The 18248-nt window shown below is 42.2% G+C and overlaps 1 protein-coding gene and 1 non-coding gene across 12 annotated transcripts in view; both read left to right on the top strand.

Annotated features, from left to right (window-relative positions):
• SEMA5A (semaphorin 5A) overlaps window positions 1–18248 on the top strand; it is a 511043-nt gene that overhangs the window by 477648 nt on the left and 15147 nt on the right. For all 11 annotated transcript variants that reach the window (XM_011514158.3, NM_003966.3, XM_011514157.3 and 8 more), the window contains 5 exons: window positions 1782–2007; window positions 5323–5541; window positions 14171–14341; window positions 16400–16555; window positions 17971–18018. In XM_011514158.3, coding sequence (XP_011512460.1) covers window positions 1782–2007; window positions 5323–5541; window positions 14171–14341; window positions 16400–16555; window positions 17971–18018 — 820 coding nt within the window. The remainder of the gene's footprint in view (window positions 1–1781; window positions 2008–5322; window positions 5542–14170; window positions 14342–16399; window positions 16556–17970; window positions 18019–18248) is intronic.
• On the top strand, window positions 14533–14612 carry MIR4636 (microRNA 4636). Its single transcript, NR_039779.1, has one exon. It is a non-coding gene; the product is annotated as a microRNA 4636 (primary transcript).

The following is an 18248-nucleotide window of genomic DNA, read 5'->3' as shown; positions in this document are numbered from 1 at the left end:
ATCCTCCATGGCTCAGCCTCCAGCATCCAGACAGGCAAGACACTGGAGCAGTCTTCTCAGGGGTCTCTGAAGAGTCCAGCAGGAAAGGTTTAAGATTCTGACAAAGATTCTTAAATTCTGTTTAAAGATCTCAACCAGATCTGACCAGGTCTACAGACTTCTCTGTGCTACAGACCTTCCAGTTAAACTTTTTAGCCCTCCACTCTAAATCAGAGCAGAAAACAAAGACTGTTCAGATCACAGAAGAAACAATCTAACAAGAAAGATAGAGATCCAAAAAAGCAAAGGGAATTCAGCAATTAGAAGATACAGAAGCTATAGAGAAAGACTACAACCTTGAAATAATTCATCAAAGTACTCAGAGTATTCAAATCATCAATGTGCTCAAATTGGAGAAAGTAGTGTGACCAAAAAAATAAGAATAGCATACAATAACAGGGAATAATCAAGAACCAAAAAAAAAGACACAAAAGGGCTTTTGGAAATTTAAAATGTAGTAGAGAAGATGAATATTTCAATCATCATTTTGAAAGATAAGGTTGAGGAAATCTTCCAGAAACTAAAGCAAAAGATGAAGATATGGAAACTATGAGATAAAAGATGAGAAACGTGAAAATGGATAAATGAGTTTACATCCAAAAGATAAGAGATGCAGCAAGAAAAGGGAGGGAGAGCATGAAATGAAGTAATCAAGAATATTTCTAAAACCAAAGGAATTTGTAGATTCAAAGGTTTTACCAAAAGGACCCAAACTCAAGTTTAGCTCTATGGAGATAAGTATCAAAATCTGCAACTGAAAGAGGTGGAGGAATGATAGAGCAATTTATTTTATTTTATTTTATTTTATGATAAAGCTTAAAGAGTGATTTAATTCTTATTTTATTAATAAAACATTGTTAAAAATCTTTAATCCTGTGGCCATCACTAGGTGTATTATGTGTATGGGTTTCCCTCCAGTGAAACCCGTTGGTGTAAAATGGAGAAATTATGTCACACTGTATCCAAGGTCAACTCCTGTATCCCTCCTGTTGGGCTCTGTGTCTGCAGCAATTGTATGTAGAATGCTTGTCAAATAAATCAGTAGGTGCTCCAGGCAGATTTTCATCATCTCCACGTGCCAGACCTCCAAAGCCACTGCATGTTCAGCTACCCAGGATCCTCCTACCTGTGGTTACAAGGGAGGTACCTGGGAGGGAGGGAACAGAACTTACATTTTAGTGTACTCTCAGGAGAAGCTCAGAAGGGCCTTGAAGGTGTTAGCTGTGAGATGATGGGAAACCTTATACGTAAAAAAAGTCTCTTGCATCATTTTATCTTGTGGCTCCCCTACCACTCTAACACCTCACATCTGTGATCCCAGGTCTTAAAACATCCATTAATCTCAAACTGAATATTGTGAGGTTTACAAATCAATCTTTTAAAGAAAATAGCTAAACTTAACATCGGAATAATGGGTACTTTTAGCTACTCATTAAGTGAAAGGAAGACGATTTTTATGGGATCGGTGGGTTTTTTTCCCACAAGCAATTAAGTTTGTTGTCTCATTCCCATTGTTTACACAGGAGAGACTGTGGGGATTCCTTTTGGAGATGTCTTGAACACTGAGCATTCTGTTGAATACCTAATTTAACATAAATGTGTTTTTAGTTTGGTAGAGTAGCTGTGAGTGTCTTAGGAGCTGGTGTTTTAGAGACCCTTATCTTTCCCTAAAGGAAAGGAGCCCTTCGTGAGGTTGCTCTGTTTACCCCGTATAGTAACACTCGTCTGCGCATTCTCCCCAGGAGTACCAGTCTTGCAACACCAACCCGTGTCCTGAGCTGAAGAAGACCACGCCCTGGACACCCTGGACACCTGTCAACATCTCTGACAACGGCGGCCACTATGAGCAACGATTCCGATACACATGCAAAGCCCGCCTGGCTGATCCGAATTTGCTGGAAGTGGGAAGACAGAGAATCGAAATGCGGTACTGTTCTAGCGACGGCACCAGTGGCTGCTCCACAGATGGTGAGTAGTGATTCCGTGGGGACTGACCCACTTCCATGGAAGGGCCTTTGATCTTTTCTCTAAGGTCATAAACAGCAAGGGGGCATTTTCCTTTTTGGTTATTTATGGCTTAGCAGCCTTGAAAACAATGATCCCTGTAGAGCACAACTGACTGTAGGACAAATTGAAAGAAAGGAGCCTTACTGTAAGAAGTTAGATATTGAAGTGATACTATGAAATCAGGCCCCCAGATAACACTATATTTATTATAGACCCAGAATCATTTGTGTGAGATTTATTCAGTATCAGAAAATGTACTGGGGAAGCATCACTGATCTTTCATACATCTTCTGGCACTAAAATGTAAGCTGAAAAAAGGTTTTTCTTTATTTATCCCAAAACTTCACAAAGGCAATGGAAGTGCATTTCTCTTTGTACCTATAAAAGGATGTTTCTGTTTTTAAAAAGCACATTGTGTAAGGATACTAGAATAGTCTTTGAAATAACTTTGCTCCTTATAATTGAGTAAATCCCTTGAATGCCATAGTAATAGCATGGAGAAAGCCCTGAGGCAGAAACCAGATCTGGCCTCTGCCTGGCCCTAACACCAAGTGGTCCTTTTACCTGGGGCAATTCACTTTCTCTTCCTAGAGCTCTGCTGTCTCAACTGCAGAAAAAGGAATTGAGCCTGGTGGTCCTTAAGAGCTTGATGCTTTGCTTTGTTCTTCATTTCTGTTTTTCAGCCTCCTCTAATTGGGCAAAATCTCTTCCAAAGGAAAAGATACCAACAGAAAAGGAAATAGATACTCATAGATGGGTCCTTGGTACACAGTTTGATGAGAACAGTGATTGTTATATCTTGTGGCCATTCTTAGATCTGCCTTAGCATCTTTGCACAGGTGATTCTACCTTATTCTCCCAACACGAAAGGACAGCCACCATTTACAGAGAAGGGGTCTTTTACCCAGAGTGGATAGCCTGGACAAGTGCCACCGAGCTGGTGTGTTGCCACGTTGGACAGAATTTATTGTGGGATAAATTCATGGAGGTTTGGTAGATCTCCTTGGTGTTGCCACAGGGAAGGCTCTGAGACAGTGTGGCTCTGTGTGACGGCCACCAGCTGCTCTCGTGTCACAGATCACCATGACTTCTCCTGGGAGCTGGTGAACAGCCTGGATGCCTGGAGGCCCAGCAGGTGCAGCAGGAGCCACTTGCTTTACAAGCCTGCTTCCTCATCCTATTGCTCTCACTGACATTAACTCTCTCCTCTCCTCACACCACTGCTCACTGTAGTTCAGTGATTACCCAAGCTCATTGTTCCTTGAAGCAAATAAAAAAGTCTGCTTTCATACAGTATTTTATGTACAACTTAAACAAATACCACTCACCTGGAAAAATGGGTAACAAAATAATAGTCACTCTTTTTAATTTTGTAAACTCTTGCTGTATTTAGAAGAGAAGGTATATGATGAAATACCAAGAGAAAGATAACTGAGGACTTAAATATGCACATTTTATAAAGGATGATCTTGTGACCTCCACCTAGGGTGGTGAGATGAAGCACAAAATTTAAATGCAAGTTTCAGTTATCTTTTAGAAGTTTTTTTCTAGTACAAGTATATCCCATGAATCCTTTTCAGGAAAAGTATATCCCACATAACTTTTTAAATGACTAAGCCCCATGAAATTTTTTGGTTTTTGCTTGTTTGTTTGTTGAGACAGGGTCTCGCTCTGTTGCCCAGGCTGGAGTACAGTGGTGTAATCATGGCTCAACCTCCCTCCCCTAGCTCCCTACCCCCGACAGGCCCCGGTCTGTGGTGTTCCCCTCCTGGTGTCCATGTGTTCTCATTGTTCAATTCCCACTTATGAGTGAGAACATGCAGTGTTTGGGTTTTTTGTTCTTGTGTTAGTTTGCTGAGGATGATAGTTTCCAGATTCATCCATGTCCTTGCAAAGGACATGAACTCATCCTTTTTTATGACTGCATAGTATTCCATGGTGTATATGTGCCACATTTTCTTTATCCAGTCTATCATCAATGGGCATTTGGCCAGGTTTCAAGTCTTTGCCATCGTGAATAGTGCCTCCATAAACATACGTGCGCATAGAGTTTTATTCTTCTGTATCTCAATGGCTTTGAGTTCTCATGACCATTTCACATTTTGGTATTGATATCTTGAAAACACAAAATGGGACTCATTTTCCTCTGACCACATAAAATGAGGCTTGATTTGTGCATAGTTTTTCTTTATTGATTCACCACAGAATACTAATTTATCACAGACAGACAATTCTAATTCAATTTCTCTGAAGAGTATGCTGCCATCCTTTCAGAAACAGATTTTCTAAGTAAACAACAGAGTTGCTTAACAACACTGAGAGCTGTTGGCACACTTGTCTTCTGAGCACACTTCCCCGGAACTTTACTGCATACTTTTAGAGTTATTTGTTAAAGCTTGTGTCACATTGCCTACATTTGAGAAAATTATTGAATACTTTTTAGTATTGTGAGTGGGAAGACATTTTCATAAAATTTTGACTATGGCTAATTACGTGACTTAACAAGTGAAAGTGCTCACTGTACACATCACCCACAATATGTCCTCAAAGCCTGTTGGCTGTGATTCCTGCCACAGCAACTCCCCACTCACCCCACAGCCCACCTGCTGCTGCTGCTGCCTCTCTTGGCTCCTTGGGAAACACATTTTGTTAGGTAGTGTGCTCTAAACTTCATAGAAACGTTTGCCAATGTCACTCAGTGCTGTGTTCAGTTCTAGGGCATGAGTTCCACAGAGCAGACAGGAGTTTCTCAGGCCTGTGATCCAGAAGCAGTTGACTTGGCCCCTTTTACCAGCATTAATTCACCTTTGAAAGGTTAACAGCTGAAAGAATAGGTTTAGAAAATGTCTGAATTATGTTTCCCTTCCTCCAGATGGAGGTCCTTGAGGGCAGGCTCTACCCATTGTGTCTGAGGGCAGTTTGTTGTAGAATTCCCAAGGAAAGTGAGAAAGTTGTGTTTTCTTTGTAAGAAGTGTCTTCAAAAAGTAAACGAACTACCTATATAGAATCTATTATTTACTGTGTAAAGGTTCACCACATTCACATGGAGTTCTTAATTTCAACCTTATTTCATAGTAATTGCAGGAAACAAGCTTGAGAGATAAGAGGCTATCACACCACTGATTTTTGGCTACTGAAGTGTAAAAAGAGCTCAACGGAATGTGAGAGGGTAGTTCTAGAAATAAGGCAGACAGCAGATACAGAATGAAAGTCAGCATGGACTGTAGTTCCTCTGAAACTTGTAACAGAATCACACTTCACCTGTTTCCTTGGCAGGGCTTTCTGGGGATTTCCTGCGTGCTGGGAGATACTCTGCCCACACGGTCAACGGGGCTTGGTCAGCCTGGACGTCGTGGTCACAGTGCAGCCGTGACTGCAGCAGGGGCATTCGGAACCGGAAGCGTGTTTGCAACAACCCCGAACCCAAGTATGGGGGAATGCCTTGCCTTGGCCCATCTCTGGAATACCAGGAATGCAACATTTTGCCCTGCCCAGGTAAGTGGATTGTGTAGTCTACAAAACATCTGAAAACTCAAGGGCCTTGGAGAGTCTTCTAATTTACCAGGCCTCACGCAGCTCCCTGGCTTCGTGTTTGAGATCTGTGTTCTTAATAAATGTCTTGGCTATGCGTGGTTGCTCATGCTGGTAATCCCAGCACTTTGTGAGGCCAGAGAGGGGGAATCACTTGAGCCTAAGAACTCAAGGCTGGGCAATATAGCCAGACCTCATCCCTACGAAAAATACAAAAATTAGCCAAGTATGTTAGTGCACGCCTGTAGTCCCAGTCATTCTGGAGGCTGAGTTGGGAGGATTTCTGTAGTCCAGGAGATCAAGACTACAGTGAGCCATCATCAGGCCACTGCACTCCACCCTGGGTAACAGAGCGAGACCTTGTCTCAAAAGTAAATAAACAAACAAATAAATAAATGTCTTGTGTGATGTCATCACCTGTTGGATTAGCCCAGAGTGGAAAAAGGAAAGAAAAAGAAACCCCTTCTCCCAGCAGACCTGAAACCAAATCCTAAATCATTCCAAGCAATATTAAGACCATTCTCTCAGCCCTCCTTTCAGACAAGCATGCAACTTTAGTTGTCTGTATAAAAAGATCTGATAGGCCGGGCCACAGTGGGACCTCCCTGGGCCCTGGGCACATTTGTCTGCAGGGGCCCCCCACTCCCTAATGCATTGGGGAAAGACATCATCTAGGCTAGATTGTGTTCATGTTTTTTTCTTCTGATTGTAAAAGGAACTAAAACTTTCCTATGAGCTACTCGAAGGATATGGACTCTAGTTGTTGTGCCTGATGGAAAAGCCGGCCTTTCTAATGTGGTCTGAAATATCTGGGGCCTTTGGAGTGACCATCAGCTCCTTCTGGAGGCTGATCCCTTCCTGGGCCACTGATGGACCCAGCCCTCCCCCACATGGCCTCCATGTACCATCAGGTGGTCATCCAGGGTCACGGGTATCAAACATGCAACCCCTGGACCCTGGGCCTGCCAAGCCAGTTCTTGGTCCTCATGTCTTCTGTCACAAAAGGTCTACCTCATTAATTAAGTCCTCCAAAGACGCAAACTCTTCTCTCCTGTGGGCCTAGCAGAGCTGTTTTTCTGGGTCTTCTTCCTGGGGCCTGGCTTTTCATTCCACTGAATTCCCAAGCAAGCACAGAGTCATGAAAATGAGCCGAAAGAGCCCCCGCCCAGGGCTTTTGCTCTGACAATGCCTGAAACACTCCTCCATCTTTCCCTTTAATATTCAAGCCCCTGTTTCTGCCTTTCTCCTGCCGCAGCTCAGGGTCCCTAGCACCTAAAACACTTCCACCAGAACTTCCCACTTCCTGCTCTCCTGTCCAGAACCCACGGAAAGTCTTCAGCCCACACGTCATGGCCATCCTGAGGGCTGATCTGTGACTGGGGAGGCTGCCTTGACTTTTGTCTGAAGCTCCATGAGGACAGGGACTCCTGGCCTGGTCTCACTCATGGCAGCAACCTTAGCTCCCAGCAGGGGCCTGGCACATACTAGAAATACCCATCAGGGATTGTTTTTTAATAATGAGGAAACAAAGAGTTGGTTAATTGATCTTTCTTCATTCATGTCATTTCTCAGGAAACATTTTTGAGTAACCGACTGTGCACTGTTTACAGGGTATACACAGATGCAGTGTTATGATCCAGGTCAGAAAGAAACTTAAGAGTTTAGGGAGAGTGCATCCTGGGAGCAGCGTCAACCCAGTATGGCCACTGGCTACTGAGTTTATGACAACCAGGTGCAGTGGCTATATCCACCAAGGAGCCAGCCCCTTGGTGGATTTCACCAAGGAGAAATCATGGCAGCCACAGCAAGCAGGCTGCCCTTAAGCTGGGTCTCGAGGGACAGAAACGAGTTGGTGAAATTGACAAGCAGAGATGGGAAATTGGGAGGAAGGCTCATTCTGGAGTTGGATACAACATTTTTAAAGGCATAGAATATTAACATATTTCTAGTAGATACAACTTTCTGAGTTCTTACATCAAGAAACTGGCTTGTAGCAGATACTCAATGAAAATTCATTGGATTGGGTGCTTGGAAGGGTGGATAATGGATGGATGAATGCATAGATGAATAAACATGTATATAAAACTGAAAATATATAGTTTCCAGATTTGTAGCTGAGGCTCCCAATAATGTTTCTGCTCTTATCAGCTGCCTGGCTCCTCCTAGGGTGTCTCTGCTTGAATTTCTCCAGCCTCAGGAGACTCCTCCTCTGCCCACCCAGCTTTCCCAGCCAAGCTGATGCTGAGAGGCTGGGAAAGGTCACTGAACTGTTCTTTCCCACAGCCCCAGTAAAAGGAGTCCTCCTCTGGGGGCTGAGAGGAATCCTGTGGGCAAGCTCACTAGATTCGGGTCCATGCTATAAACTGGAACAGGGGCAGACGTCATGGGAATGTCAGGGTCCCTCCACCCACCCTTGTCTCCCTGGGCTCCAGACCCTATCCTTGTTGCCATGGGTAGGATGTGCAGATTCCTGCAGACACTTGGATGTTGTCCTAGTGCACAAGTACAAAGGGTCACCACTCATCTCAGAGACACTCTATTAACATGATCTGTTGGTTGCTCTCATTTTAGTTGATTTGGTGGTCAAGCCAATACCATGTATACATAACTTTAATATGTTGAAATAACCCTGTCCTCATTTTCGTTTTAAAAGCCAAGATTCTGCAGAGTGTTGTGGAGTTATTCAGAGTGGCCCATGTCACCTTGCACTAGGCAGTGGGTGAGTCAGGGCTGAGTGGTGCTTCCCCTGCCTGGGAAATTCCTAAACATATGATCGGGCATGACCCAGCAGGGAGGGTTGGAAGTGCTAGGGGTGTGAATGCTGAGCTGCACAGTCACCAGGAAGCCAGTTAGAGGCCGATTCCTGTCTCACTCAGGATACTCTCCCCTGTGAATTTACTCTTCTTTAACCCTGTTGGGTTCATAGTGGACAATTACAAATGGACACTGTATTTTATTTAAAAATATGTTTCCTCATTAAAATTAAATATGAAAATAAATCAGCCGGGCATGGAGGCTCACACTTGTAATCCCAGCACTTTAGGAGGTAGAGTTGGATAGATCACTTGTGGTCAGGAGTTTGAGACCAGCCTGGCCAACATGGTAAAAACTTATTCCTACTAAAAAGACAAAAATTAGCCTGGCATGGTGGCATGTACCTGTAATCCCAGCTACTTAGGAGGTTGAGGCAGAAGAATTGCTTGAGCCCAGGAGGTGGAGTTTGCAGTGAGCTGAGATCATGCCACTGCACTGCAGTCTGGGTGACACAGTGAGATTCTGTCTCAAAATAAAAATAAAATAAACCAGAGAATATAAAAACACATTTTAAATTAATCAATGAAAAAATTTTACCTCTAAGACTGATGTGTATAAATAAACTATAATAAGGTTTCTAAGTCAAGCCCATGCTGAAATAATCATTTTTTTCACCTTCTGTGGGTCCATCTAACTAGTACCTTCACCTACATAATTTACGCCAGCATTGAGAAATAGCTAATTATTTCTTCTTCACTCCTTTTCCTCAATGCATATTTGATTTAGCCTTAAAGACTCCAGACTTTGACCTACAAAGGTACAGACAACAGATGTTTTTTTGTTGCTAAGTAATGTTCAGCTAAGAGGAAAGCAACCTCAGAGTTTGGCACATGTACCCTAAAACTTAAAGTATAAAAAAAAAAAAGAAAAGAAAATGAAGGTAAAAACCTAATGAAGTAAACACAAACTCTTTTCATCAGACTTAACTGAGATGGTTCTGTTTTGTATTTTGCAAACAATAATTCTATGGGGGAAGGAACACTAAATCTAATGGAGGGACAGACTCTGAGTCAAAAGAATAATTCTGGCAGTTGTGTGTCCTATAGATAAATCTCTTAGGCATCTCTGGTGTGCTCAGAACCCTCTCTTCCTTTGCATTCTTGGAGTCCTTGAGTCCATACTTTGAAGTGGAGCCAGGCAGGGGGCAGTTGGTGTAGGAAATTTCTGCTTAGAGATCCTTAGGAGCAGAGAGCACAGCTGTCCTGCAGTGCAAACCTATGTAGTCCAGACCTCAGTATGCTGGAGAATCAATACCACATTTGCCCATGTCCCGAGAGACTGTGAGTGAAGGGCTTCACATCTCTGATCACACACAGGAAGCCTGTTGAGCAAATCTTAGTTATTTAGTTTTTACTTTGCTATTTAGGTCTCTGGCAATTGTACATTGGTTACTGCCATTGTTTTTAATCTTACTGTAGTGGGTGGAATATTTAGCTAGAATCTCTACAACAAGAATGTTATCCTCTTCTGTCAAGTTATTTCATGTATAAATTTCATTTTATCAAAAATAATTTCCTATAATTAATTGCTTTGATTCCTTGAAAGAAACATGGATCTGAGTTTGTGTTTGTCTGATCTTCCCATGAACCAGTATTTCTTGAGCTAACTTGGGTGATGATTCAAGCCATGAGGAGATTCCTATGTGATTTTTAGCAACATGGGAGGAGTTATGGGAAGCCCTAACCTGTGCTTGTGTGTCAGGTTCTGTGCTCAGCCTGCCACTGTTCCAGCCCCAGCTTCCCACTCACTTGCCCAGGACCTAACCTCTCTATGCCTCAAGTCTTTCATTTCTGGAACAACCCCCAGGGCAGTTGTGAGGATGGAGATGGAATATTGAATGAGTTTATTATTTTAATTATTACTATTACTAATGTTATTTTTTTAGTCCAATATAGTTCACATAGCAGGGGAAAAAAATCTATTTTAGTGGCTCAGCCTCACTCAGGCCCCTGACATGCTGTGCCTTCCACAGTGGCTTACATTTGTTTTGTTTTCTTGGCCCTGCAACTTTCTACTTCCCCACCAGGTTGTACAGGCTCCCTTGTGATGAAGGCTATTTCATTAAGATCTGTGTTCTGAAATGTCTATTTTAGAAATGCTTTGGCCTTTCTAATATGAATTGTTAGTACAATAATCAATATCCTACATTATGGCTCCATGATGTGGGTTGAAACCTGTAACATAAAGACAGGGTCAAGAGGACAGAAAGCAAGCACCGCATTAGAATTGGTCTGGGGACATAGGGCAATTGCAGACTAAGCAACTTCCGGACAGAGTAAGGAAGTGGTTCCAGGTCTCCTTTGAGTTCCCTCTGTACTAGAAACATCCATTTCCCCAGTTCTTTGACTGCTGAAATTGGTAGAGGTAGAGTGTGATCTTGTGATTTGAACTCCCAAGTGGGAATGTTTCAGCAACTGGATTCTGTTCCAAATGCTCTCTTAAACGGTTATTCAAACAACAGCTCCATTCTCTCTGTTTAACAATAAATGATCCTGTGCCAGGAGAATTTACCATGATACCAGATGGACAGTTGGTGTATGTGTGAGAGAGGATTTATTAGACTAGATCACATACACATTGGCTTACATGTTGGTAGAAATGTGGACAGGAATAAATATTGTTTGGAATATCACAGGATATATTATGTACATCAGCTTCCTGGTATGAGATCATTAGATGTTGCATGATTATGGAACCGTTGAAATGAGCACATTTAGTCTCTGTTTTTATTTTTGTTTTCGCTGTGGTAAGAATACTCAACATAAAATCTACCTACTTAACAGATTTTTGAGTGCACAATACGGTATTGTTAAGTATAGGTATACAACGATGTATAGTAGATATCTAGATCTTACTCATTTTGAATAACTGGAAGTTTATACCAGCTATACAGCAATTCCCCACTTCCCTCTCCCCCAGTCCCTGGCAACCACCGTTTTACTCTCTGCTTCTATGAGTTTGACTATTTTAGATACCTGATCTAAGTGGAATAATGTATTATTTGTCTTTCAGTGTCTGGCTTGTTTCACATAGCATAATGTCCTCCCCTAGGTTCATCCATGTTGTTGCATGTGGCAGGATCTCATTTTTTAAGGTTGAATAGTATTTCATTGTATGTACCTACCGCATTTGCTTTATCCATTCATCTCTTGATGGACATTTAGGTTGTTCTGAAATTTTGGTTATTGTGAGAAATGCTGCAGTGAACATGAGAATGCAAATGTATCTCAGAGATCCTAATTTCAGTTTTTTTGATATATACCCAGGATTGGGATTGCTAGATCTTACAGTAATTCTATTTTCATTTTTTTATTTTGTGATGGAGTCTCGCTGTGTCAGCCATGCTGGATGCATTGGCACCATCTCAGCTCACCGCAACCTCCGCCTCACAGGTTCCTGCGATTCTGCTGCCTCAGCCTCCTGAGTAGTGAGGGTGACAGATTTGCACCAACATGCACAGCTAATTTTTGTGTTTTTAGTAGAGACAGGGTTTCACCATGTTGGCCAGGCTGGTCTCGAACTCCTGGCCTCAGGTGATCCGCCTGTCTTGGCTTCCCAAAATGTTGGGATTACAGGTGTGAGCCACCATGCCCGGCCTCTGTTTTTAATTTTTTGAGGACCCTCCACATTGTTTTCCGAGGCAGCTGCACCATTGTACATTCCCACCAACAGTGTATAAGGGCTCCAATTTCTTCACATCCTCACCAACACTGATCTTTTGTTTTTTGGATAATAGCCATTTTGGCAGGTGTGAGGTGATACATCACTGTGGTTTTGATTTGCATTTCCCTGTTGATTCATGATGCTGAGCATCTTTTCACACACTTGTCGGCCATTCATCTGCAGGTTTATCATTCCATACAGAGGCCAGGGATCTACAGAACACATGGTTGGTTATACATCAGGCCCTGACACAATCTAGGGCACACATTAGACCCTTCTGAGCCCTGAGCTGCCTTGTGCGCATTTAGAAAGCCAAGATCTAAGACACTTGCCATTACTATAAGTCACAATGACTTATTTTTGCCCTGGTGTATGGGGCATGCAAGGGTACTCACTGATGCCAAGCTCCAATTTAGGTTACAAACAGAAAAAAACTGTCAGCAAGTGCTTCCTTCAGTGAGAATAGATATGGGAGAGAGCTTTTTTTTTTTTTTAATTTTTAAAGTTCTAGGAAAACACATGCCTGGCTTTTTTATTGCTGATATTACAGCCAGTATCAAATACTTGATCAATTCCTCTAACTGTCTGATATACCGTATAACTTTTAGGGAAAATACTGTTGAATTCTGCAAGTTTGTGTAAACTATTGAATCACAAAATTTCCAGTTAGATTGCAAACTTATTTCTAAATTGGGTTCAAATATTTTTGTTTTCTTTTTACTTTCTGCAAATTATAATATTGTCATAAAGATGATATTTTTGCTCTGGTTTCTCAAAAATGCTTTCTTTTTACCTTTGCCAATATCTAAAAAGAAACATTACACCATAATGATGTAATACATCATGACAGGCATATTAAAAAACAATCTAAGTTATTCTAGCTAAAACAATCTTATGCCCTGAATGATTTTGGCATCCTCTTGCTCCTGTTTCTTTGTGTAGGCTACAAAGAATGTTAAAATATGATACTGTCTACATACAGCAATAGTGAGTCTCTCCTCAGCTTTTTAATTGAGTTAGCTGTGGTTACAATTTGTGCTTAACCCCAGATTAGGATCTAATACCTTGTTTGACAACGTCCTGTAGCTTTGTCCTGGGACTCAGCAATAACAAGGAAGATCTGGCTAGTAAGAGAGAGGCACAGTCAGGAGTTAGCTAAACTGAAAATCATATTTGACATTGTCACAAGCCCAAGCCAACATGAGGTCTTGGTTTTAGCAAGATCAGCTAATAAAGGACTGACTCTTAAAGTCTCCCAGATTCAGGTGGGCCACCTGACCCCAGCATTCAGCAGGCGGGTCTACAGGTACCAAGAGCCCAGCCTAAAGAATTCAGGAGGCTAACTTGAGCAGGCAGAGACATGTGCTGGGTTGTGAGCTGTCATGGAAATGGTTAGTCAAGGAACCAGTTCGGCCTAACTTTCACATTGTAAAACTGCACCCTTAATATCTAATCTGACATATGGCTGCAGATTTTCAGATTCCTCTCTATAGTCATTTAAACATAGTGTCAAGTCTGTGTGGCTGTACTTAATTTGGTCATTCTGTGCCTGAATTTACCGAGCATTCTTCAGTTACCTTCCTCATGGGACGTGTTAGCTTTTCTCTATCCCACTGTCAGGGAGTAAACCATAATCCAATTAGTAAAGGAGCTCGTGACTTGAACTACTTACCTTGGCTTTAAGTCTTGTCTGGCTAGTTAGATGGCAAAGGTGAGAGCTGGCTGGGGCTTTACATCAATAACCGTACAAGGTGGTTCATGGTTGTTCTCAGGGGCTGGAATTACTATGACAGCTCGTGCACTCTGCTGTCATGTTTGTACTTAGATACGATTGATTTAGAAATGTTTTCTGAAACAGTGAATAAAGGGAACTGAAAAAGTGTAGGGAGGAATCTGTAAAACTGGATCTGTCACCAAGAGGAAGACTCCAAATGCAGCCCTGCGAGGGGTCAGAAGCCTTGTTGCTACGTGTGCCTATGCACTGAAGCCTTTCTGGAGTGCAGATTCCATTTTGTTTCCCTTACTAAACAGAATCCACTTAGCTTCCATTTAGTAACTCCTTTCACTTGGTTGGGATTGGATTATAGAAGAGCTGTGACATTGTGTTTCTTCACAGTGGATGGCGTGTGGTCTTGCTGGTCCCCCTGGACAAAATGTTCAGCAACATGCGGCGGTGGACACTATATGAGGACCCGCTCTTGCTCCAATCCAGCCCCGGCCTATGGAGGGGACATCTGCCTGGGGCTGCACACAGAAGAGGCACTCTGCAACACGCAGCCCTGCCCAGGTAAGCGGCACCTCACCTACTGCACAGCTTTCAGACAAATTGGCCTCTTTCCTTAATGGATAAATGGTGTAATTGATGATACTGCATCATGGTAAGTACTGAAAGGGGGGTGGGCAAGTTAGCAACATGCTATTACCCTTGAAGTGACTTTAAAACATAGCATCTATAATAAAATAGTTCTCACTGAGCTATAGATTCAGAACTCGTGTTCAAAGCCTTTAGCCCAGCAATGGGAGAGTGCTAAAGGCTTCAAGCACGAGTTCTGAATCTATGGCATGTTACAACACCCAATCTCCCTAATTAGGAAACATCCCAATTTATTCTTGACTTTGCTAATTAACACTAGTGACCCACAGGTGACACCTTGCTGTGTTGAGGGAGAAAGTCCAAGGAAAGGTGGGAAAGAACGAACATTTTTAGTGCCCCCCATGGAGTCTGGAGGTCTGAGTGGGGAAATCGCCTGCAGCCTTTTTGTCTCAAAACCAGCCTGGGTGCAGCCACATGTCTTCCAAAGATCTCCAGACCTGTGTTCCAGGAATGACTTCTAAAATGTGACAAGGGGACACTAAGCACTCTTGCAGGATGCTTCATCCATGGTCGATGGGCTGTAATTTAGAGGTAGTGCAATTAAAGGAAAGAAAAAGCATGACATCAAATCAGTAAGTGGAGGAGCACAGCAAACAACAGAAACTGGTGATAGCAAAGCATTCTTAAAGCCAGTAGCCTAATAACAGAGTCTGAGGTTTTGTTGTTGAAAATCAGGGTGGAGAGCAGGGAGCACCGCTGTGAAGTGCACCTCATAGGAGCCAGCCTTGGGCCCGTGGGTGTGGGAGCTCCTCGCTTCAAGCTCCCTGTGGCTGATGCAGGCGCTTGGGGCCTCCACCACCACCACCATCCCAGAAATAGCTTGGTTTACTGACATGAAGGAATGACCTGGAATGAAAATGAGCTATTCTTTTCTTGGTCTAACTTTGACATTGAAACACACAATTTTTTTTAGCTTGCTCCTGCACATCTTTCTAGAAGGTTCTATGTATATTGAAAAGGGCCTTAAAGCCAGATTCTCACTGTCATTCCAAAAACTGGCACTTTCTGCATTTCTAAGGAAACATTTTACCCTTTAACTGGAGCAAAGCACAAGTTTGATTTTCAAATTTTCCCTGCCACTACAAAGTGGATGCTTCTATTTAAAAAGGGGAAAAAAGCAAACTGCATAGAAAAATACCTTTTTATCCTGATTAAAATTCCATAAACAATATCCAGAGTTTTTTTTTTTTAACCTTCTTACTTATATAGGAGTCTTACTCCTTTCTTTTCACACATCTGTATGCCTGGGTGAATTTCACACATCCTAGTAAATCTTCCACTTCGGGATGAAGTATCCTTTCAATGCCCCTCTTTTGGCCTTGACCCAAGACTTGTGCATTGACCTTATCTCTTCAGAGACAGCAAACACGAGATAAGATGAATTCTACATCAAGGGTCACCTGACTTTGGCATGTTGACTCTGCGGAATTGTTTTTATAACAGAAAAGAAAGTAATTGTGTAGCTTCAGACTCCCTTTCAGCAACCCAGGACTCTCATGAGCACACAATTATTTCTCTCGCCTGAGCACAGAGGAAGGTGGAGAATTTTCAGGAATGTTTCAGGAAAGCATTTGAGTTTCTTTGAGGGGAGCATTACCCATAGCAAAATGGCATCTGCATTGATGACTTATGTACCGCTGCTGCTGATGGTCTGCACACAGCTGGGTCTCATGGATTCACTTATTGAGTGTCTAAATACAATTACTTTATAACGTTAAAATAATGTTTATTTTAAGCTCATGATATCTGATCAAATATATAACAGCGCAGGCACTTTTATTCATCCTCGTGTGTACTGTATGTACTGGATCTGTTAGATGATACAACTACATCTTACTGATGCACAGAACCATTAAAAATATGCTATGGAATCCTGGAATCCAGAAATCACATATGTAACTTGCCAGTGAGTCTAGGATGATTGAGCTTACTGGCCATTCCGCCCCATCTCCCCTTTTCTGGTCTCTGCAGAGAGCTGGTCGGAGTGGTCGGACTGGTCTGAGTGTGAAGCCTCTGGCGTCCAAGTCCGCGCCCGCCAGTGCATCCTCCTGTTCCCCATGGGCAGCCAGTGCTCCGGGAACACCACGGAGAGCCGGCCGTGTGTGTTTGACTCTAATTTCATCCCAGGTAAGAGCAGAGGTATTTATCAGTAAGAATAAAATCATTTCCAACATGGAGAGAGAAAATGATTCATAGGTCAGAGTTTTATTTGGCTTATTTGGTGAAATAGAGATGATTCCATCAAGCCCCATGGTTTCAAGGTGTTTAAAACGTAGGTCTATAGATAACTGCAGATTTAAACATGAATTCAGTTCATGAATTTAAGATTTCTTAGGAAAAGTGTCTTTTGCAGTTTATCAACTATAATGCAATCAGAAGACTTTGCTCAAAAAAATGAAAATATTTGGTTATTATTAAATATGTTTTGGTTATTTGGTTATTTTAATATTAGGTTAAATGTTTAGGCAGTGCTCGCTGTGTATGCACTGGCACACAGAGAAAAAGCACCATTCTCTTTATGCTATCTTTAATATACTTGAGAAGGTAGAAATGCATCATTATTCTCCTGTTGGAGAAGAGGTTGGCCCTCATTCAACCAGCTTCTCATGGTAAAGTCAGTGTGTAGTTGTTGGTGATAGCTGATCACTTGTTGCATGCTCACTGTGAGAAGGTGCTATATGAATGCATAGATCATTGCGCATATGTCCACTGTGTGCCTTAGGACTGTTAGGTGGACCAGCCTCTTACAAATAAATAGTAGAGTTGAATTCTATAAGCCAGTTTTCTTTGTTTTCTTTCGTCTGTGCAAAAGATACTATTTTAGAGAAAATTAGCATACCATACCTCAGTCATGTACGGCACAGAACTATAAGAGTGGTTGTTATTGTTTTCCTTTTTAACGATAGACATATTTTTAATTCTTGTTGTCTAACAAAAAATCAGTACAGGAAAGAATGGTGTTTCTAGACTACCGAGTGATATTTTATCCTCAGGAGTTAAAACATGTATGAGATGTGGCCTCTCTCTGCATCCTACTGTGGGTTTCATGTGTGGCATGCCAAGAGCATCAGTGGCCTCCTGAAGAGGGACTTCACTTGTTCTGGAGATGTCCTTGAGCTCTGGTGAATGGGCCCTCCCTCTGCCGGGAAGGTGACAACACTGGCTTTGATGGAACAAGTCTCAGAAGCAGGAATACCACAGGAGTACTCTGTGTGTTGGGCAGAGTGGGGGGATCCCCCCGGCAAGACACCTTGTAATGGAAAATGAGCACATTCCCTGCTTTCAGCCTGAGAGACCATAGCATTATCTTTCTGTGATAAATGAATCTTATCTCTCCCCAGTCAAGGTGATTTGGCCAAATCCATATCAGGTTGGTTAAAACAAGCAAAGAAACAAGTAGAATTTTTCTGATAATTAATCAAGCTTTTGAAACTTTGTGTCACATAACATTCAGAATCATTAGACAAACATACATGAAGCATGAATGTGGACTGTCTTCTGAACACCTTTTACACATTGTGATTCGACTTTTCTTTTTCCAGAAGTATCTGTGGCAAGATCCAGTAGCGTAGAAGAGAAAAGGTGTGGAGGTACGTTATTCCTTTTAAGTAGTTGTAATGGATGTACTGATATATTCTAATCATTTCCCTTCCTGCATGTTTTCTATAATTTTTCTGCCTCTTGGCCAAGAATGAAAAACCGGAGAAAGTCATGGATCCCAGGCATTCTACCTTGGCATAAAGGCTTAATAGTCAATATTTGATGTACCGATCGGTGGTTCTCAAAATGGGGTGCGTAGACCCACGTCCAGGGCATGGCC

Source organism: Homo sapiens, chromosome 5, assembly GCF_000001405.40.
Source record: "Homo sapiens chromosome 5, GRCh38.p14 Primary Assembly".
NCBI classification, from domain to species: domain Eukaryota; kingdom Metazoa; phylum Chordata; class Mammalia; order Primates; family Hominidae; genus Homo; species Homo sapiens.
This window is presented reverse-complemented; position numbering and strand designations above follow the sequence as displayed.